The sequence below is a fragment of the Homo sapiens genome, chromosome 12, assembly GCF_000001405.40.
Source record: "Homo sapiens chromosome 12, GRCh38.p14 Primary Assembly".
Lineage (NCBI taxonomy): Eukaryota > Metazoa > Chordata > Mammalia > Primates > Hominidae > Homo > Homo sapiens.
In genome coordinates this window covers 87,992,420-88,015,093 of record NC_000012.12, presented here as the reverse complement: position 1 = coordinate 88,015,093, position 22,674 = coordinate 87,992,420, and the positions used below count along the sequence as shown (strand labels likewise).

General features: G+C 33.9%; 1 protein-coding gene across 9 annotated transcripts in view, besides 1 other annotated feature; it reads left to right on the top strand.

Annotated features, from left to right (window-relative positions):
* Nucleotides 1-22,674, top strand: part of C12orf50 (chromosome 12 open reading frame 50) — a 50,198-nt gene that overhangs the window by 15,139 nt on the left and 12,385 nt on the right. For all 9 annotated transcript variants that reach the window (XM_017018888.3, XM_017018886.3, XM_024448865.2 and 6 more), the window contains exons 4-7: nucleotides 16,904-17,059; nucleotides 18,448-18,525; nucleotides 18,607-18,720; nucleotides 20,351-20,461. In XM_017018888.3, the coding sequence (XP_016874377.2) occupies nucleotides 16,904-17,059; nucleotides 18,448-18,525; nucleotides 18,607-18,720; nucleotides 20,351-20,461 (459 nt within the window). The remainder of the gene's footprint in view (nucleotides 1-16,903; nucleotides 17,060-18,447; nucleotides 18,526-18,606; nucleotides 18,721-20,350; nucleotides 20,462-22,674) is intronic.
* Nucleotides 19,209-19,268: an enhancer, noted in NCBI's record as "active region_6698". NCBI's record gives its function as "activates an Ori minimal core promoter by ATAC-STARR-seq in GM12878 lymphoblastoid cells {active_cell/tissue: GM12878}" and the evidence as "EXISTENCE:reporter gene assay evidence [ECO:0000049][PMID:35858748]".

Here is a 22,674-nt window from a genome sequence, read left to right as displayed (position 1 = left end):
CCGAGATAATTTGTGTTGGATGGCAGATTCTTTATCCTGACTACATACTGCTTCTGTTCTCATCCAAGGTCCAAAGAGCATCAAAACATGCAAAAAAATAAAGGCAGGAACTCAAATATTACTTCTTCAGGCTTAACATTTGTTAGTCATGTTTAAGAACTCCACATCTTGCTTTTTAGGACTTATAAACTTGCAGTTTAATTATGGCTTTTAAAAATGAAGTGGAGTTATAAGAGATTAGAAAATCACATACCCAGTGTTTTAGAATAATCTGTTAAGTGTATTACGTGTGGCAGCGCTATGCTGGATAATTTTCGTGCCTGATTTTATTTAATCATCATAAAAACTGGCCGAATAGATACAGTTAATCTCCCGATTTTACAGATGAAGACAATGAGGTCCACAGAGGCCAGATATCTTAGGCAAGATAATACCTCTCAATAAGTGGCAGTTTCTGAATTCAAACATAGTGCTGTCTGACTCTAGAAGTATCTCAGCCAGGCGCGGTGGCTCACGCCTGCAATCCCAGCACTTTGGGAGGCCGAGGCGGGCGGATCATGAGGTCAGGAGATCGAGACCATCCTGGCTCATACGGTGAAACCCGTCTCTACTAAAAATACAAAAATTAGCCGGACGTAGTGGCAGATGCCTGTAGTCCCAGCTACTCAGGAGGCTGAGGCAGGAGAATGGCATGAACCTGGGAGGCAGAGCTTGCAGTGAGCCGAAATCGCGCCACTGCACTCCAGCCTGGGCAACAGAGCGAGACTCTGTCTCTAAAAAATAAATAAATAATAAATAAAAATTAAAAAAAGTATCTCACAAAAATCAGACGTAACATTTAAAGTATACTCCAATGCTTTTTGTCATTTGAATGACCCATGCATCAGACCTCCTGATCTGTCTTCTGCCTTCTGAGGGGCTAATTCTATTCCACTCTACCCCATAGACTTCTTTTCAAAGCTATTAAAGTTTTTTATATTTTATAGAAGACTGCCTTTCCCCTTTAATTTACAGTATTAGAGTGAGATATTCTAGCACTTCTGAGTTATGTGTACTTCCATTGAATAAGGCTTCTTTTCTCTTTCTCAATTTATATTTCCCTGTCTTTTCTGAAACTTGTTCTCTTATATCACGTGAAGCTCAGAAGCCCGGATACCCAATCTGAAGTTTGTCTCACCCACAGGCTCTCAGTTCTGGCTCCACGTTAGAATTACCTGGGGAGCTTAAAACAACAACCACCAAAAACCAAACAGTTCTCAGCCACCACCTAAACCACCAATTAAACTGATGCTTCATTATACTTTTGTTTTCCCCCCAACTTTTTAAGACATTTTGTAACTTACAGAAAATTTGCAAGAATAGTTCAGTGAACACCAGCTGTCCATGTATTCTTCACCTATCTTCACCAATTAACATTTTGTCACATTTACTTTCTCTTTTTTCTTTACTGTATTTACATATCTGCATATAAGGTATAAATATACATTTCTTTATTTTTGTTTTTTTGGAACCATTTGGGAGTTAGTTGCAAATATCCTCACACTTCATTGCTAAATACTTCAGCATGTACCTTCTAAGTTCAAGAGCATTCTCCTATATAACTGCACATGACTATCATATGTAGGGAATTTAACATGATAGAATCAACAATGTGTAATATTCAGTCTGTATCAAATTTTCCTAATTGTCCAATAATACTTGTAATAGCAATGCTTCCTCAAAATTTAGTACGTATAGGAATCACCTGACAATCTTGTTTAAACTGCTGTCTGATTCAGTATATCTGGGCTGGAGCCTGAGGTTCTGAATTTCTAATAAGCTCATAGGTTCTTGGGACCAAGTGTTGGGTAGAGCAGCCTTAAAATTGTTAGTTTTATTTTTTTTCCCCCATCCAATTTACAATTAAGCATCATTCATTGCAATTGGTTGTCATGTCTCTTTATTTAATCTCTTTTTAAAAATCTGATGTCTCTTTAAAAAAAATCCCAGGATTTTTTTTTCTTCCTTGTCATATACATGTGTATTTTTTGGAGACAGGATCTTGCTCTGTTGCCCAGGCCAGAGTGCAGTGGTGTGAACACAGCTCACTGCTTCCTTTTCCTCCTGGGCCCAAGTGATCCTCTCACCTCAGCCTCCTGAGTAGCTGGGACCACAGGCTCATGACGCCATGCCCGACTAATTTTGTAATTTTTGGTAGAGATGGTATCTCACCATATTATGTAGGCCGGTCTCAACTCCTGGATTCAAGCAATTCACTCACCTTGGCCTCCCAAAGTGCTAGGATTACAGGCATGAACCACTGCACCCTTCCCCATGTCATATACATTTTAAAAGAGTTCAGGTTAGTTGCTTTGTAGGATATCTTTTAAATTGGGGATTTGTTCATTTATTTCCTCCTAATTACTTTTAGATTAAACTTTTGTTTTGCAAAAATAGTACAAAGAAGATCAGTCAGTTATTTTAAAATTTACACAAGTGTTGTATAGATTTGCCCTAATGCCCTAACCAAACTATTCCATGGAGGTGCTCTTAAAGAATTAGTGAAAAGGGAAGAAAAATAATTTGCGAAGAACCTCTGCTCTGTGAATTTTACAAAAATTAGCATTTCTTGTACTCTTTGAAGGACAAGAGAAGAACAGTGCCCAATTCCTGTGAGTCTAAATGAAAACAATTTGTTTAGTTATAAATAATTCGTTTATACAAAAGGCTCTTTTAACCTATGTGTTTTGTACTGCATGTGTGTTCTAGCTATGGAGGTATTTATGGGAGTAGGAAATACTGCATTATGATTGCATTTATGACATCTGTTTAAAAAAAACTGAATTTGTTTTGAAAATTGACAAAGCATAGAAAGTAGATGTTCATGTATGAAATGCCCTGGCATGATGCGATATAGTAGTCTCTCATAAGTACTCCCTTGTAGAGACTCCGACTCCCTTGGTCATAAAGAGTGGAGTAGTGCTAAATGTTTTAACTGGCTCCTTTCCCCCACCTTGTTCCCCTACCCCAAAAAACAAATGGGAAAAAATGCAAAACAAAACAGCTCTGTTGGTTCACATTTGTCATTTGCTGTGAAGCAAATATTTTCTCTACGGCCAATTTCAAACTATAAATGTGACGTCAGTATTCTTGCAAAATTCCTGAAAATTTGCCAATTCTACGTGCTTATCTGAGCCCACTCCAGTATATTACCGGTTTTAAGGAGAGAAACCCAACTCAATTTGATTTAAGGGAAAACTGGAATTCTTGGCTTATATAATTAAAGAGATTAGGGACAGAACTGACCTCAGACCCAGCTGGATCCGTGTTTCCTTCACCAACCCTTAGTTCTGAGCTAGGTGTCCTTCTCTATGTACTACAGTTACTCCAGAAGCTCCAGAACTAGATTTTGGAAGCAGAATAGGCAAATATTAAGAATAGTAGCTCTAGCTCAGATTAGTTTGAAATATCAACCTACCACATATTTGCCACTGTAAACATGGGCAACTTAATGTCTCTCTGGCCCAATTTCTTCATCTGTATGGTAGAGATAGTAATAGTACCTGCATTGGGTTTTAGACATTTAACAGATTAATACTCAATTGTTTAGAATTCTTGGCAAAGAGTGAGTAATCAGTGTTATCATTATCAATTGTTTAGAATTCTTGGCAAAGAGTGAGTAATCAGTGTTATCATTATCATCATCATTCTAAATTAATCTCAGAAGAAGTAAGTCCTTCTGCAACTAAAGCCCAATTATTGAATGTCATCTAATGGTGTAGAAAATGTGCTCATCCCTAATAGTTGTTCAAGCTAGGGGATGAGCTAATCTTTGGGTCCCAGGGGTCATCCTCACTCACACTAAGTTGATTGAAAATGGGAAAAAGGTTATTCCCTTAAAAAAAACTCTGATACACTTTACCTAAGAGAAATAAAATGATTACAGGACAAGCAAAAATAATAGGTAATCACTACATAATATATAAAAAATATGTCTTTCAGAAGAATCATATGAAATATATGTGATCACCCCAAAGTTGATCATAGTGACATGAAGTTATGCTTTTGGTAGAAAAATCAAGGTGACAAAAATTATCTATGTGTAAATTCATGTAAAGTACATTATAGTAGTTTCTTAAAATGCAAAGACCATTAGTATTTGTGATCTCATAGGAAAGTTGCTCAAATCAATGAAGATATAATAATACATGTCAAATTCAGCACCCTTTTGTTTCAACCATTGTAGAGAGGTAAACTTAACCAGTGTCTGAAGTTTTACTGCATTACTTGGTTGTCAAGTAATGCACTTGAATTATTTATTTCATATTTCTAATTGGGTAGTTTCTGTTAACTATATGTGCTCTTTCCCATCCTATCTCTTTCTCCTTCTGATATGTATTTAAACACATTAAATAGAAAGGTGTGATGAGCAGTGGTCTTTATTTTTGATGAAATATCCACTACAACATTTTTGATTAAATTTTTTCATTATAAGTTTAGTTGAAATGGTGTAACTTTCAACATTTTATCAATATTGGCTTTAAAAGTAAAAATTTTCTCATTATAAATGTATCTAATGACATCTTGCCGTAATGATTCCATTTATAATCTTATAAATGGAATAATCTTATAATCTTATTATAAGATTATAATAATTTTAATCTTATAATCTTATTATAAGATTATAATAATTTTAATCTTATAATCTTATTATAAGATTATAATAATTTTAATCTTATAATCTATTTAAAAAATACAAGAATAATAATCTCAATTACAACTAAACAGGTTCTAAGACTTACATGGAAGTGCAAAGAGCCAGAAATAGTCAAGAGATGCTTGAAGAAGAGCAAAATAATAGAACTTGTTCAACCAGATTTCAAGGCCTATGAAGTGATAGAGATTAGGACAGTCTAGCACTGGCCACAGGATAAACAAATTGGTGAGTGGGACAGAGTAGATGGAAACAGACCTTTCCATAGATGGACACTTGATTTGTTAGGTGAACATGATAACCACTACATTATGGAAACGGATTGGACACTTGATTTGTAGTAGGTAGCATGGATGAGTAATGGGTGGTCTTTTCAGTTAATGAGGGAAAAATGGACTTCTCTCTCACACAATAGATACAAATCAATTTGAGTCAATTATTGATCAAAATGTAAAAGGCCAATATTTGAATACTTCAAAAGATAATAAGGTCACAAAATATTGACCATTTCAGAGAATATGAATAAATTTGGCTGCACTGAAATTAAAATTTGTATTTATCAAAAACACCATAAAAAAGTAAAAAGATAAACCACCAAATAAGATAATATTTGCAGCATGTGTGCTTATGTGACTCCAAGGAAAGACCTGAAGTCAATACTTGAATACAAATCAACAAGAAAGGCCAGAGAACCTAATGGAATAGGTTTTTCTGTTTTACCACTATTGAGATTTTGGACTGGATAGTTCTTTGTTGTTGGAACCTATCTTATGTATTGTAGATTGTTTAGCAGCATCTTTAGCTTCTACCTACTAGATTCTAATAGAAATCTCCTCGTTGTAACAACCAAAAATATATCCAGACATTGTCAAATATTTCCTAGTACGTAGGGAGTAAAATTGTCTCTGCTTGAGAACTGCTATCATAGAACAATAAACAGAAAGCTTATAAACAGGCATTTGAAAAGGAAGAAATTAAAATGTAAACAAACAAGATGATCAGTCTTATTAATAGTTAGGGAAATCCAAACAGAAAGCACTTTGAGATATAATATACCCATATTATTGGCAAATATCAAAAATTCTATCAATTCTTGGTGAAGACAAAGAACATTAGGAATTATTGTGCACTGTAGAAGGATATATAAACGGATACGAGTACTTTGGAAAACAGCCTAACATTATCTTGTCCAGTTAAAATTATGCATAACTTAGGACCAAGCAATTCCACTTTTGAAGCATATATCCTAGAGAAATCCATTACTGTGTACATCTGGATACATGTATTAAATACAAGAATGCACGTAACAGCAGTTTGTAATGGCCAAAGGCTAGAAACCGTCAAATGTGCAACAACAGTGGAATGCATAAATAAAGTGTGGTACATTCATTCAATACTAGACAGTGATGAAAATAGGAGAAACAGGTGAGTAAGGATGTATTTAACAGATAAAATTAAATGAAAGAAGGCAAGAAAGAATAGATATGGCTTAACTCTATTTATAAAATGTTCAAACATAAGCAAAATTAAACTTTATGTTTAGGGATGCATACTTGGTAGTGAGATCATAAGGACAAACAAAAAGTGATTACAATAGGTTAGGATGAAGATACCTATTGTGGGTATGGGGAAGGAAAATTGTGTGAATGAAGAGGATGTTTAGGAGGCTATTATTACATGACTTAGGTGTTGGCTTTGTGATACTTGTTACAATATATATTTTATAGTTTCTGTACTTTTCTGTGTATGTGTTATATTTCACAGTTTTAAATAGGTAAAAAATGCTTAAGCAAACAATTCTTTATTTAAGAATTATATAAATAATTCTTTATATTAAGAAACAATTCTTTATTTCCTTCTGTTAAAACTATTGCCACTTAGGACTATTCACAATAGCAAAGACATGGGAATCAAGCTACATGCCCAACAATGATAGACTGGATAAAGAAAATGTGGTATTAATACATATACACCATAGAATACCATGCAGCCATAAAAAAGAATGAGATCATATTCTTTGCAGGGACACGGATGGAGTTGGAGGCCATCATCCTTAGCAAACTAATGCAGTAACAGAAAAACAAATACTGCATGTTCTGACTTACAAATGGGAGCTAAATGATGAGAAAAATGGACACATAGAGGAGAACAACACACACTGGGGTCTACCAGAGGGTAGAGGGTTGGAGGAGGGAGAGGATCAGGAAAAATAACTAATGAGTACTAGGCTTAATACCTGGGTGATGAAATAATTTGTACAACAAACCCCCATGGTACAAGTTTACCTATATAACAAACCTGCACGTGTACCCCTGAACTGAAAAGAAAAGATAAAAAAAAAAGCTATTGCTGTTTAACTTTCTTCACATATCTTTACCCTAACCTAATATTTTTATGCTTGAGTTTATTGATCACCTATTAAAATTAATATAACAAAAATATATATAAATTTAAATTTTCATTTTTTTAAACGATGATAAAGTTCCACTTTTAAAGCCATATGGTCTTTAACATGCCTTTAGGATTGAATTATTATTACAATTATCACTGGCATTTAATTTATTAAAACAACAATTACATTACAAATATTGATAATTATTGCATATCAAAGTACAATTATATAAGAAAATTACCTCTTCATTAGGTGAATTAATGATCAAAATTATTCTTATCTGTTTATAAAACAAAAAAAGGTATATATTGCTGCCATGGCTTGTTTGTATTTCTCCAAAATCCATGTTGAATATGAATAGGATTAAGGCCTTCATAAAAGAGGCTTCACACAGGGCTTGGCCCTTTTTGCCCTTTTGCCCTTCTGCCTTCTTCTGTGTGAGGACACAGCATTTATCCCCTCCAGAGGGCACAGTAACGAGGCACCATCTTGGAAGCAGGGAGTCCTCAATAGAGACCAAGCCTGCCAGTGCCTTGACCTTAGACTTCTCAACCTCCAGTACTGTGATAAATAAATTTCTGTTGTTTATAAATTACCCAGATATTTTGTTACAGCAGCACAAATGGACTAAGACACTTGCTAAAAACTAATATTCAGAACGAGCAGGTTGTTCTAATATTTGCTAAGTCAGTTACAATATAGTAAACATTTTATAAACTTAAATAAGATGAGGACTCACTTCAATTAGAAGATTTCACAATATTATAAAAGAGATCTTAACTATCTCAATTGGAAGATTTTATTTGAAAATTGTATCTATGGGTTTTTTTCTAAGATATTGTGAACAATTTGGCAAACTTGTAAATAATTCTACTTGCATTTAAAAAATTGTGATGACTAGATTACTTTCAGAATGATGTTGCGAAGAATTCCATGAACCTGTTCCCTAGTGAAATAACAATTGATTTCAATGGTTGATGAAAATTATATGTTAAAAATGTTTCCAAGTGTTAAGAAATTGTCCTAAGGGCATACAGCAAATGAAATCGTATTAATTCAATAAAATATACTAAAGCCAGTAAAAATGGCAAGTCAGTTGTATTGGAACCACCACCCACTCCTTTCACCACCTCTCTGTTTAGTGTGACAGAAGCTCTACTCTGAATGGATACAGCCAAGAACACAGAGCTCTTTCTACGTCCAGCTTCCAGTCAAGAACTATAGTACCTTTCTGGGGGGAGAAAGCTGCTAACATTTCTCATCCTCTCCAATTCCCAACTCCATGTTGCTAGAGCTCTATTTTTCAGGCCTGAATCTTGTTTTCATCCAGCCCCAAGCATAAAGCAAAAGTTCTATCCCACGTGCAGCAGGCTAGGAATAACAGGACCTCAATTACCTTTGCCTCAGTTGGAGCATGGATAGAGGTCCCATGCCAGGAGGCACAAGTTGTAAACACCAGAAATTACCACCCCTGCTTTGTGCCCCAATTTTAAAACAGGGCGTCACTCCAAAAGAATTAAGTGACTGTCCTTGCTCTTAGCATTAGCACTGAGATTTTGTGCAGGCAGAGAGTAGAAAACTCTGAAGCTCTCGGAAAGAGAACTGAATTTATTTGGAATAGAACATAGTGTGGGGAAGTTTAAGATTAGGGACGCTCTGAAAACAATGGTGATTGGGGATAAGCAATTAAGAGGAGGCTAGTAGCTCCATGAGAGCAGCAAACTAAACTGTAAACCAGCTAGAAGTTTACCAAAGACAACCCGGTAAAGACACAGTTAAAAAGAGTTCTTTTGGGCCAGGCGCGGTGGCTCACGCCTGTAATCCCAGCACTTTGGGAGGCCGATGTGGGCGGATCACGAGGTCAGGAGATCGAGACCATCCCAGCTAACACGGTGAAACCCTGTCTCTACTAAAAATACAAAAAATTAGCGGGGCGTGGTGGCGGGCGCCTGTAGTCCCAACTACTAGGGAGGCTGAGGCAGGAGAATGGCGTGAACCCGGGAGGCGGAGCTTGCAGTGAGCCGAGATTGCGCCACTGCACTCCAGCCTGGGCGACTGAGCAAGACTCCGTCTCAAAAAAAAAAAAAAAAAAAAAACCAAAAAAACAAAAAAACATAGTCCTTTGTCAATCTTTAGTCTACTACTTCTGATCTATTAACAGCTCCTGGCCTTCCATTTCTAGTTATCCCAGAAGGGGATACTGGAACACCTTGCAGGTAACTACTGGGCAGGCAATTTCGCCTGGTGTTTAAAAACATGGATTCTCGCTTGAACCGGGGAGGCGGAGCTTGCAGTGAGCCAAGATAGCGCCACTGCACTCCAGCCTGGGCGACAGAGCGAGACTCCGTCTCCAAAAAATAAATAAATAAATAAAATAAATAACATAAAATAAAAAGAGTTCTTTTGGGATTGGAACAAACTTGAAAGATTGGGCTCAAAGCTTAGCTCTGCAAAGGAGTCAATTTACTTGGGTTAAACTGTGGAGCAATTTATGCCCTAGTGCATTGATGAAAACAATGGGGCATTACACCAGCAATGAATGGAAGCTAACATCTCAGTGTGATACCAACAGAGGTGGACAGCTTAACAGAGAAACCAGGGAATGGAGCAAAATGAGCCCTGCTAAAGTCCGTGTTATCCCTGTTAACTGTGGACATGCCAAGGCTACATCCTCTGAGGAATGACAACAGAGGCTGCATATTGTGGGAGAAAATAAATTTTACTAAAATATTCCAACAAAGTCACTCAAAAATTAAAAAGCAAACAACAAGCTTCAGGTTTAGGATGAGAAGTCAATATTCAGAGTTGCTACAATGTATTATCACACATGTTGAGCTTTCAATAAAAATTATAAGACATGCAAAGAAACAGAAAATTATAATCCACATACAGAAATAAAGGAGGCAACAGAATGCTTATGAGAGGATTGTGATGTTCAACTATGCATTGATTTTTTTTTTAACTTTTATTTTGACTTCAGGGGTACAGGTTTGTTTGTGCAAGTTGGTTCTAAAGATAAATTGCATGTCCTGGGGTTTGATGTACATATTATTTCGTCACCCAGGTTATAAGCATAGTACCTGATAGGTAGTTTTTCAATCCTCACCCTCCTCTCACCCTCCACCCTCAAGTTGGACCCAGTGTCTGTTCTTCCCTTGTTTGTGTCCATGTGTACTCAATGTTCAGCTCCCACTTGTAAGTGAGAAGGTGCAGTGTTTTGTTTTCTATTACTGTGTCAGTTCGCTTAGGATAATGGCCTCCAGCTCCGTTCATGTTGCTGCAAAGGACATTATCTCATTCTCTTTTATGGCTATGTAGTATTTCATGGTGTATATGTGCCACATTTTCTTTATCCAGTCTACCATTGTTGGGCATTTAGGTTGACTCCATGTCTTTGCTATTGTGAATAGTGCTGTGATGAACATACACATGCATGTGTCTTCATGGTAGACTGTATATACCCAATAATGGGATTGCTGGGTCAAATGGTATTTCTGTTTTAAGTTCTTTGAGAAATTGCCAAACTGCTCTCCACAATGGCTGAACTAATTTTACATTCCCACTAGCAGTGTATAAGCATTCCTTTTTTTCTGCAGCCTTGCCAGCATCTGCTATTTTTTTAGCTTTTTAATAATAGCCATTCTGATTAGTGTGAGATAGTATCTCATTGTGGTTTTGAGTTGCATTTCTCTAATGATTAGTGACTATGAGCATTTTTTCATATGCTTGTTGGCTGCGTATATGTCTTCTTTTGAAAAGTGTTCATGAGCAGACAATGATTTAAAGCAGTAATTATAATATGTCCAAAGACCTAAACTCCTGCATAAAGAAGTAAAGAACGGTATTATGACAACATCTCAACAATAGAGACTATCAATGGGTAAAAACTACGAAAAAACCCTAACAAATTGAAATTTTGGAGTTGAACACACAATATCTGAAATGGGAAAAAAATACTATAAGGGATCAAGGGTAGATTTGAGAACTGCAAAAGAAAGAACCAGTAGATTTGAAGATAAATCAACGGAGATTATACAATCTGAAAAATCAAGAGAAAAATAAATGAAAAAAAAGATGAACAAAGCCTAAGAGAAATATGAGGCATTTTACCAAAATGTAAGGAAAGAAAAAATAATGGCTGAAATTCCCCAGATTTAATTAAAAAATTAATCTGCATATACAAGAAGCTCAACAAACTCTAAGTTGGATATACACAAATATACCTGCAGCCAGACACATCATATGAAAAAAGATAAATACCAGTGATAAAGGCAAATTCTGGAGAACAACAAGATAAAAATGTTTTATTGCATATAATAGAACCCCAGTATGATTAACAGCTACCTTCCCGTCAGAAACAATACAGGCAGTAATCACTGTAGACTGAAAGAAAAAAAATTGTGGCAATCGAGAATCTTTGTCCAGAAAACTAGTTTTAAATGCTGTATTTCAAAAATAAAAAGGCAAACAAAGACATTCAAAGAAAACAAAAACTGAGAGAATTTGTTGCCAGTTTGTCTACCTTAAAAGAAATACTAAAGGAAAACTTTCAGGTGGAAAGCAAGTGACCTGAGTCAGTATTTCAAATCCATATGAAGAAACAAAGTATGCTGATAAAGGTAGTTGTGTAAGTATAAAACTATCATAAGGGCATATTTCTTTTCCTTCTATAATCTGATTTTAAAATTTTATAAAACAATACATACAATTTTTTTTAGTCTGTTACATTTAGAAATGTAATATATTTAATAATAGCCACACAAAAGAGGCAGATGGAAGCAAAACTGTATGATGACAAAGAAATGACACCAGATAGTAACACAAATCCATAGGAACAAATGATGAGAATTAGAAATTATAAATAAAAAGGTTAATAGTCTCTGTTTATAGAACAAACTATAAATACCTACTTGATCTTTTTCCCCTCTTAGCTCCTTTAAGAAACATACAATTATCTTAAGTAATAATTATAACAATGTATTACTGGGTTTGTCATGTATAGAAATGTAATATATGTTACAATAGTAGCACAGAAAGGAGGAAGAGGGCATAGAGCTATATAGGAGTAACCTCTTATATCTATCTCACTGATGTTAAATTAGTATAAAAGTGAAATAGATTCTGATGTTAAGAAGCATATAGTAAGCCATAGAGCAACCTAAGAAAATATTATAAAAATGAAGAATTAAAGGAATTTAATATTATACTAGAAAATATTCATCAGTGTAAAAGAAAGAGAAACAGCAGAACATGAAACATATAGAAAACAAAGTAAAATAGTGTACCTAAATCCAACTATATCAATAATTATATTAAATGTGAATGGGTAAAAAATTCAATCAAAAGGCAGAGATTGTGAAAATAAAATTAAAGATAAAACTATATGCTGTCTACAGAAAACACTTTTTAAATTCAATAGCCCAAACAAGCTGAAAATAAAAGAATGGAAAATATATACCATGCAAACAATTATAAACAAGAAAATAAAAGACTCGAACAACTGTAAAGCAACTAGACCTAACAGACATCAGCAAAACACTCCATTTAACAATTGTAAAATACACATTTTTCTCTAGTGCACAAGAAACATTTTCCAGTATAGATCACATTCTAGGTGATAAGGTAAGCCTGAATAAATTTAAAATGATTGAAATTGTGCTGTGTATGTCTTCTGAATATAATGGTTTTAAAAGTTGAGAGAAAAAAATTGAGACATTTACAAATATATGGAAATTAAATAGCACACATGTAAATAACCAAGAAATCACAAGAAAATTACAAGGGTAATCAGCCAATACTTTGTGTTTAGTAAAAGTAAAACATAGCATACCAAAACTCATGACATGAAGTAAAGCAGTGCTTAGAAGAATATAAGTTGTAAATGCCTATATATTTTTTAAAAATCTCGAATAGATAACCTAGACTTATACCTTAAGACACTGGAAAAAGAAAAGCACATTAAACCTAAAGCAAACAGAATGAAGCACATAATAAAAATTAAAGCAGGAATTAATGAACTAGAGAATATGAATAAAGAAAACCAATAGAGAAAATCAGGGAAATCAAAAGTTGGTTATTTGATAAAATCAGGAAAATTAAAAATCTTTAACTTGACTGACCAAGAAAAAAAGAGATAGGTTGAAATTACTAAAATCAGAAATAAAAAATGAGACATCACTCCCAATATTATGAAAATAAAAAGAATTAAAAGGGAATAATGTGGACAACTATATTTCAACAAATTAGATAACTTATATAAAATAGACAAATTTCTAGAAAGACACAAACTACCATCACTGACTCTAGAAAAAAAGAAAAAAATTGAATACATCTATAGGAATAAAGAGATTGATTGGGTATTTGAAAACATTGCCACAATTAAAATCTGGGCTCAGATGGCTCCAATACTGAATTGTAACCAACATTTAAAGAAAAATTAGTACTAATTTGTCATAAATTCTTCCAAAAAAAAAAAAAGATGATGCAACACTTTCCAACTCATGTCTATGAGATGTTCTAAGACATCAGACGAAAACTGCAGACCAAACTTTTCCTATGAATATAGACACTGAAAAATACTCAACAAAATTCGATTACACTAAATCTGACAGCTTTAAAATGGGATTATATTCCATAACTAAGTGAGATTAACTCAGAAACAAGGTTGGTTTAACTTCCCAAAATCAATTTCTGTAATAATAATAATAATAATAATATACCCACAATAATATAATAAAGAGCAAAAGACACATGATCATCTTAACAGATGAATAAAAAACAGTTGATAAAAATTTGACACACATACGTTATAAAAAATATTCCACAAGCTAGAAACAGAAGAAAACTTCTTCAACCTGATAAAGAATATATATGAAAAATCCACAGCTGATAGCATACTTGATGAAATACTGAAAGCTTTACCCCTAAGATTGGGAAGAAGACAAGGTTGTTCATTCTTGTCATTTGCAGTCAAGACAGGGAAATTGTTGCAACATCATCAGCTAAAAGGCTTCTGTATTGGAAAGAAAGAGCAACATTATCTCTATTTGCATATGGCATGATCTTTTATTTAGAAAATTCTAGAAATCTAAAAATTATTAGAAATAAATTTAGCAACATTGCAGGATACAATATTAATATACAGTAATGGATTGTGTTTCTTTACAGTAGCAGTGAACAAACTGAAAGTGAAATGAGAAAAATCCCACTTACAATAGCATCAAAGAGGAAAAAATATTTAGGAATTAATTTAACATAAGATGTGCAAAGTTTATATTCGAAAACTACAAAAGATTGTTGAAAGAAATTAAAGAAAACCTTGAAAAACAGAGATATCCTTGTTCATAGACTGACTTTGTGGTTGGTATGCCAGTATTCTCCAAATTGATCCACAGGTTTAATGTAGAATTTATCAAAATCCCAATGGACCTATTTGCAGAAATTGAGAAGCTGATTCTAAAATTTATATGGAAATTTAAGGGACCCAGAATAGTGAAAAAAAATCAGGAAAATGGAAACCAAATTTGGAGGACTTACACTTCCTGATTTCAAAATCTACAAGTTACTACAAAACTGAAGTAATCAAGACTATATGGACTAGCATAAAAATTGATCTATATGTCATTGAGACAGGATTGTAAGACCAGAAATAAACTTTTATATCAATCAGTTTATGCTCAATTGATTTTCAACAAGGGCATATAGATCATTCAATGGGGAAAAGAATAGTATTTTCGACAAATGGTGCTAAGACAACTAGATAGTCACATGCAAAGTAATTAAGTAGCACAACTGCATCACATCATAAACAAAAATTAACTCAAAATGGATCAAAGAACAATATTCCATTTTGGAACATTGGATCACTTTAAAAAGGAAATCCACACCCATTAACGGTTACCTCTCATTTCTTTCCAATGAAACATTGGATCACTCCAAAAAACAAACTCACATTCATTAACAGTTACTCCTCATTTTTTTCCAATTCCCAAAACCTACACAGTCACTACTTTACTTCTTGTTTCTATAAATATATCTATTTTTGATATTTTGTATAAATGGAATCATATAATATATTATTTTTTGTGAATGACTTTTTCCTCTTAGCATGTTTTCAAAATTCATCCATGCTCTCACATGCAACAGTACTTTATTACTTTTTATAGCCAGATAGCACTCCATTCTATGGATATGCCACATTTTATTTATCCATTTATCAGACAATGGAAATTTAGGTTGTTTCCACTTTTTGACTATTATAAATAATGTTGATATAAACATTTGTGTACAAATGATTACATTTGTATAATATAGACATATATTTTCACACCTCTTGGTATGTAGCTAAAAATGGAATAGATGGGACATGTGATGACTCCATATTTAACCTTTTGAGGAACTGCCTAATTGTTTTCTAAAGTAGCTGCAGCATTTTTCATTCCCAACTGCAGTGTACAAAGATTCTAGTTTCTTCACATCCTTGACAACACTTGTTATTGTCTTTTTAGTAAAGAAATTAATCATTGTAATCGTTGTAGTATGAAGTGATATCTCATTTGGTTTTGTTTGTTTTTGTTTTTGTTTTGAAACAGAGTCTTGCTCTGTTGCTGAGGCTAGAGTGCAGTGGCATGATCTCGGCTAAATGCAGCCTTAACCTCTCAGGCTTAAGTGATGCTTCCACCTCAGCCTCCTGAGTAGCTGGGACTACAGGTGTGCGCCATCACACTTGGCTAATTTTTGTATTTTTTTGTGGAGATAGGGTTTAGCCATGTTGCCCAGGCTGGATCTTATTTATTCTTTCTGTGTCACCTTGGGGTTCTGAGTGTTTCTTCATTATCTGGCTGAGAGGGCTGGGAACTGCTTTCCAGCAAAATCTGGGACTTGTTGGCAGGTGTTATCATGGCTCACCCCCATGTGCCAGGGGGCTGGCTACTTTTCATTGACTGCTTTTTCTTTTGGTGTCATATCTAAAAAACTTTTCATGACCTAAGGGTTCTTCTATGAGTTTTATAGTGTCAGATCTTTCATTTTGTTCTTACATCCACTTTGCATGAATTTTTGTTTCTAATGTGATGAAGTTGTGCAACTTAATTACTTTGCATGTGGCAATCTAGTCGTCCCGGCAACATTTGTTGAAAATACTATTTTTTCCCCCATTGAATGGTCTATGTACCCTTTTTGAAAATCAGCTGAGCATAAATTGATTCATATAAAGATTTAGTTCTGGTCTTGCAGTCCTATTCCAATGATACATCGATCTACTTTTATTTTTATGCTAGTCCAGATAGTCTTGATTACTTTAGTTTTGTAGTAATGTCCATATAAATTTTAGAATCAGCTTCTCAATTTTTGCAAATAAGTCCATTGGGATTTTGATAAGAGTTGTATCATACCTATAGATTAATTCGGAAAATATTGCCATACCAAATACAAATCAGTCCATAAACAAGGATATCTTTCCATTTCAACATTTCTTTAACTTCTTTCAACAATATTTTTATTTTATTGAAATAAGATAAAAATCTTTTTCAATATATATATTTTCAGAATCTTTTTCAGAATATAAATTTTGCACATCTTATGTTAAAATTAATTCCTAAATACTTTTTTCTCTTTGATGCTATTGTAAGTGGGATTATTTTTCATTTCATTTTCAGTTTAATCATTGCTAGTGTGTAGAAACACAATCCATTAATGTATTATTATTGTACACATTTTAAAATAATATATAGTTAATTAGGAGGGCAATGATTGATTGTTACATCTACTTATCATCACATATATCTTGAACAGACTGAAATGTTGCATTTTCTCTGCAGATATCACACTACAGAAAGAAATTCAGGAAGGAATTCCACTCCAGTCCCAGAGTCAAGAACCTCTGAAACCTCAGGAAAATATATCACGACCCATCCACCATCCTTTAGTTTTAAAAACTAATTTTGAGGAAGAAGAGGAAGTAGATGAACAAAATGGTTAGTAGAACTTTTTTCAGGTTTACAATACACATTCAAAAACCTCACATTTTTTACATATGTGTTTAACTGTAAAGGTTTATGATGTAATATATAAGGCAGATTTTGCTGAGAAAATAACTATAATTGTATTAAACTAATTTAATTCATTATGTTCTAATTTGCTACATATTTATGATCTTTTGGATTGGAAAGTTTTTGTTGTACGATAGCTGGGAGACAGATCTGATGCTTAAGTATATTTAGGTGCTTCATATACACCATGGAATACTATGCAGTCATAAAAAGGATGAGTTCATGTCCTTTGCAGGGACATGGATGAAGCTGGAAACCATCATTCTCAGCAAACTAACACAAGAATGGAAAACCAAACACCACATGTTCTCACTCATAGGTGGGAGTTGAACAATGAGAACACATGGACACAGGGAGGGGAATGTCACACACTAGGGCCTGTTGTGGGGTGGAGGGCCAGGGGAGGGATAACATCAGGAGTGATACCTAATGTAGATGACGGGTTGATGGGTGCAGCAAACCACCATGGCATGTGTTTACCTATGTAACAAACCTGCACGTTCTGTACATGTATCCCAGAACTTAAAGTAAAATGTATATCTATATAAATGTATATATATAGATATTTATATATCTACAGATGCTTATAGAGATACTAATAAGCTATGTTTTTTATATATGTTTCTAAAACATTGATGCACAAGTGTATCTGTTTATCTACATATGTATTAATAATATATCAGTTTCACATTTAATCCTGGAAGTTATAGAGATCTATGTAGTAGTTAATAATCTATAAATCACTGTCATCTGCATTATTCTAAGTCATCCTCACAAGAGTATGAACAGGCTTAGGACCCATGTCTTTTGCATTTTAGTTCATCCTTTGCCTCCCATATCAACCCAGCACAGTGGTGCCAGAAAGTGTGTATATACAAGATAAACATGAAGAAAAACTCTCGATCTGTCTTTGTGCTGGAATATGTCCTTCTATGGACTACGGGACACCATAGTTTCTGTGCTTAGGAGTACACTGAGCTATTTATTACTATTTCTGTGTGCTGCAGCTCCATGTCTCTCATGCCTACATCAACCTCGAAATAAACATACACCATCTCAACATTGAGTCTGTACATTCAGCGTCTCATTTCAAAGTACATAATACATAGCCCTTTGTTTTCTCTTGACATTGTTTTGAATACTTAAAATGTAGCAATTTGAAACATGTACTAGTATGTAAAATTATTGATTTTAGAAATATAAAAAAGTAATCTATCCATGAGAACAGTATTTGGGGTTTTCCTTTCTGGTTTATAAATTTTCAGATTAATTGGCTTTGGGACAATTTAATTTAAAAAATCTATATCCTATAGATGCTTCTAGTTTATGGACAAAGACCCCTGAAGAAATTGAAGAAAAAAGAGCAATAAAGGAGATGTGTTATAAATCTGGTAAGAAATCAAACATTTTTGTATTTTCTAATACTTGATGTGATAAATATACTAACCATTACTTTTCTTATGGTTGATTAGGGGAATACTACAGATTTCATACTCCTCCAGATATTTTGTCATCAAAAAGCATGACACCTACAGCAGAAAAACAGTTAGAAAAGCCTTTGGAAAATGGCAGTGAATTGCAAGAAGGTAAGAAATGAAAAGGCAGCATTCATAGTGATCTATAACATATACTTGGTGTGATAGACTGAATTATTTAGTATGATGTACAGAAGAATAAAGTGATAAATAATACATCGTAATTGAGCACTAGAAGAAAGTGTTTGTATTGGATGACCCAAAGCTGCTATTAATGGGATTATGTTATCCTAGAGAGGTGACAGAATGAATAGACTTCATTAACACGTAATGACACTACACACTCCATGGGGTAATGCTGTAAATAATTTGCTTTTACCATTTTATTTGTCTTTGAAATAAATCCCCCTGCCAAAGAGGTCTAGATTTTTCTTTCTGAATAGAAAAGTAAGACTAGCCCAAGAAGAACAAAAGAGAGATCACAGAATGACACTAGTGGCAGAACAGAGATTATTTGGTCATTGAATGAAAGTCTTCTGTGGACCAGACTATTTCAGAGGCCATGCTGGAGAACAAATCGAAGGCTCTGCTTTTTATGGCGCTTACCTTTGGAGAATCTGATTTACTGTGGATGAACATCTGCAATATGTTGTGCAAGTCTGTTTTGTAGCGAACTATTCAAACGTGGCGATAGGTGGCAGCAACACACCATCAGACGGAGAAGAGCCCGCAAACCTTGGGAACCATATAGGGAAGGACAGATTGCAGGCCAGCACTGCTCAGAGAAGAAAAAACAAAAGGAAACAAAAACAAAAGAAGAAAACAAGTTAGCAATGAACATTAAAAAGGGCAGATTATAAAGACAATTATATGTACTTTTGCTTTATATTATGCTTTAAAAGGCTGTTTATTTTTAAATAGTTTTGGTTAATTCCTATATACCCTTCACCTAGATTTCCTTCAAACGTTAGCATTTTACCACATTTGAATTTTCACTCTCTCTAAATATACACATTGTTATTATAATCTTCTGAATTGTTCGAGAGAATAAGTTACAGACATGATACCTCTTTGCTTTTACATTAACTGTAGTATAAATATAAAAATCAGAAAATAACCACTGATAGAATATCATTTATAACCTTCTTTTCCCACAAATTTTACCAATTATGCCATTAATGTGCTTTATAGTAAAATAAATTTTTTCCCCTAGTCTAGGATCCAATCCAGAATCACACATTGCATTAGGTTGTCATGTCTCTTTTATTTTGCTTTTAATAGTTTATTTTAGAAGAAAATTATCCAGAAATGCATGGGGAAAGCTGAGAGTATTATTTAATTATCAGTGTAGTTAGCATTTTGTAGTCAATAGTGACTCTAATACTTTTTATCTGATTGTTCATGGTGAACAGATAAAATCAAAAGTAATATTACAAAATTCCTTATATGAGAAACATATCAAACTAGATATATTATGTATATACAATAGTGTTAGATTGCTTACAATTTTTAATTGCCATTGAATAAATAATCCAAATAGGAGAATATACTTGCTTACTTCTTTGTTGACACAGAATTTAAAACTCATGTATTTATTAATTTATTGTTTATCAGATCACTGTGCAAACAATACTTGCATTAACTTTAAAGCTTTTTTACTTTCATCATGCATTCTATCATAAATTTCTTATTTAAGCATCTAATAATTTCTGGGGTGACTTTTTTTTCTTCTTATTTCTAGGAGATAGTCTTACAGTTCCGACAAAACTTAGCCAATATGAAAGGCAAGGTGAAATAAAAACATCATTGCATGGGAAACCAAAGACTGACATTGCTGCTTTTGAAAATGGAGGTGAGTTAATTTATTACTGATTGACCCTGAATATATCACCACATAATAAATGAGTCTGAATTTTATCTTTTACAACTAATTTTCTTTTTTTGTCCATGTCATGTTTAACACAAGAGTTTGGAGGTATATCACAAAATCAGTTGCTTTCAGAGACCAAAATCTCTGCCAAATACCTTGTGCGAATTTGTGTTCAGTGTATAAGACATTCCATTTTTCATATTTTAATGAGAAACCTGTGTGTGTGTGTGCATGTATGTGTGTGTGTGTGTGTCTGTGTGTAGGCTCAACTCCAGACTATAATGAATTCAGGTGTTATGTATGTGCTGTAATATACTATAACAGAGCTATAAATGAAGGAGGCACTTAATAAATCATTTGATTAAGTCTACTTTTTATTTATCTACTTATTTATTTATTTATTTATTTATTTATGAGATGGAAGTCTCACTTTGTCACCTAGGCTGGAGTGCAGTGGTGCGATCTCGGCTCACTGCAACCTCCATCTCCCGAGTTCAAGCTATTCTCCTGCCTCAGCCTCCTAAGTAGCTGGCACTACAGGTGCGTGCCACCACACCCGGCTAATTTTTGTATTTTTAGTAGAGACGGGGTTTCACCATGTTGGTCAGGCTGGCCTCAAACTCCTTACCTCAGGTGATTTGCCCGCCTTGGCCTCCCAAAGTGCTGGGATTACAGGCACGAGCCACCGAGCCCAGTGGACTTAAAGTCTACTTTAAAGGAGCTATATTCAAATATATATCATTTGTCATCACATTCTAACTGTGTATTATAGCTTAAATATTTTGGAACTGCTTTTTAGCATAAACATGTTGGAAAATCTGTCCTTTGACTGAAAATTCCAAGCGTTTGTTTTGAAAATATATAGAGATTTTGTGGGGAGGTTGAAAGGTGTGGCTGATGGGAAGAATGTGTGTGAAGAGTAGGAAGGAGGTTGAGAGCAGGTATCAGTAAGTACCAGTATCTCTTAGGCATATTGGTGATACTTTCTGCTGTCCTGGTGTCAGCCATTTTCTTCTGTGTGCCCCCCACTGCCCTTTTTTTTTGGTGCTAAGGTAATTTGATTATTTTTTCTCCTTTCTTACATCTGCAGCAGTTTTAGTCTAGCTGTTTTAGTCTAGCTGTAATTGTTTTAGTCTAGCTGTAATTGTTTGGTTGCCTTGAAGCAATAAGTTTTAGCTACAAATTAGAAACACTGGCAGTCTCTCCTAACGGAGTTCCCACTGTCTATTTAACCTATATAAGTGGGATCCACTTAACCCGAGCAGTTCTAATCGAACAGTTTGTTGAAATATCATTAAATCAGATAGCTTTTTTGGTTAATAAAAGGTTATTTTTAACCATTGATAGACTAATGGTTTCATATAAAAATAAACTTTCCTTCACGTTGTAACATTAATAATATATTACCTACTTTGTTGGGAGTTAGAAAATGTGAGAATGTCATTATACTGTCATTAGCCTAATATTAATAATATTGTTAGAGTAATGAACTAGTTGAAAAACCATACTAAAAGAATATTTAAAAAATTCCATTATCTGGTATACTAAGTTCTGGTATAGTCAAGCTTATTGATTTTCCAGGCATCATAATGTTCTCTGTGTCACTAGATAAAATAATCTTCTGGGTATGTGTATATGATAGATATATCTAAACATATTTAGGCTCCTGCATTCATAAGACATCTTTGAAATGAAGATGATCAAAACTGAAATTATAATTAATGAATTAGTATTCATTTCAAGAAAAATACTTGAGGCATTGTCTTGTCTTAATATTATTTTAATGTGTTATTGCACTTTAATAAAGTTCACAGATCTGAAGTGAATAGCTTGTTAAAATTTTACTTGTGTATGTATCAATATAACCATATTTATGGTACTCCAGATGGCTCTTTCTCTCCAAGTCAATAGTCTTCTCCCAGTGGTAACCAGTACTCTGGTCGCTATTACTATAGGCTAATTTTGCATTTTTTGACCTTTATATAAGTGGAAATATACAGTTTGAACTCTTAGTTTGGATTCTTTTACTTAATGCTCTTTGTATTAGACTGATCCATGATGTTGATTGTAGCAGTAAATCTCTATAGATAGATAGATATATACCACATATATACACACATATCTACATGTAAGACATATACTGTATATGTGTACATATATATGAAAACAAACGTGGGCATTTCTCTCTCTATGTA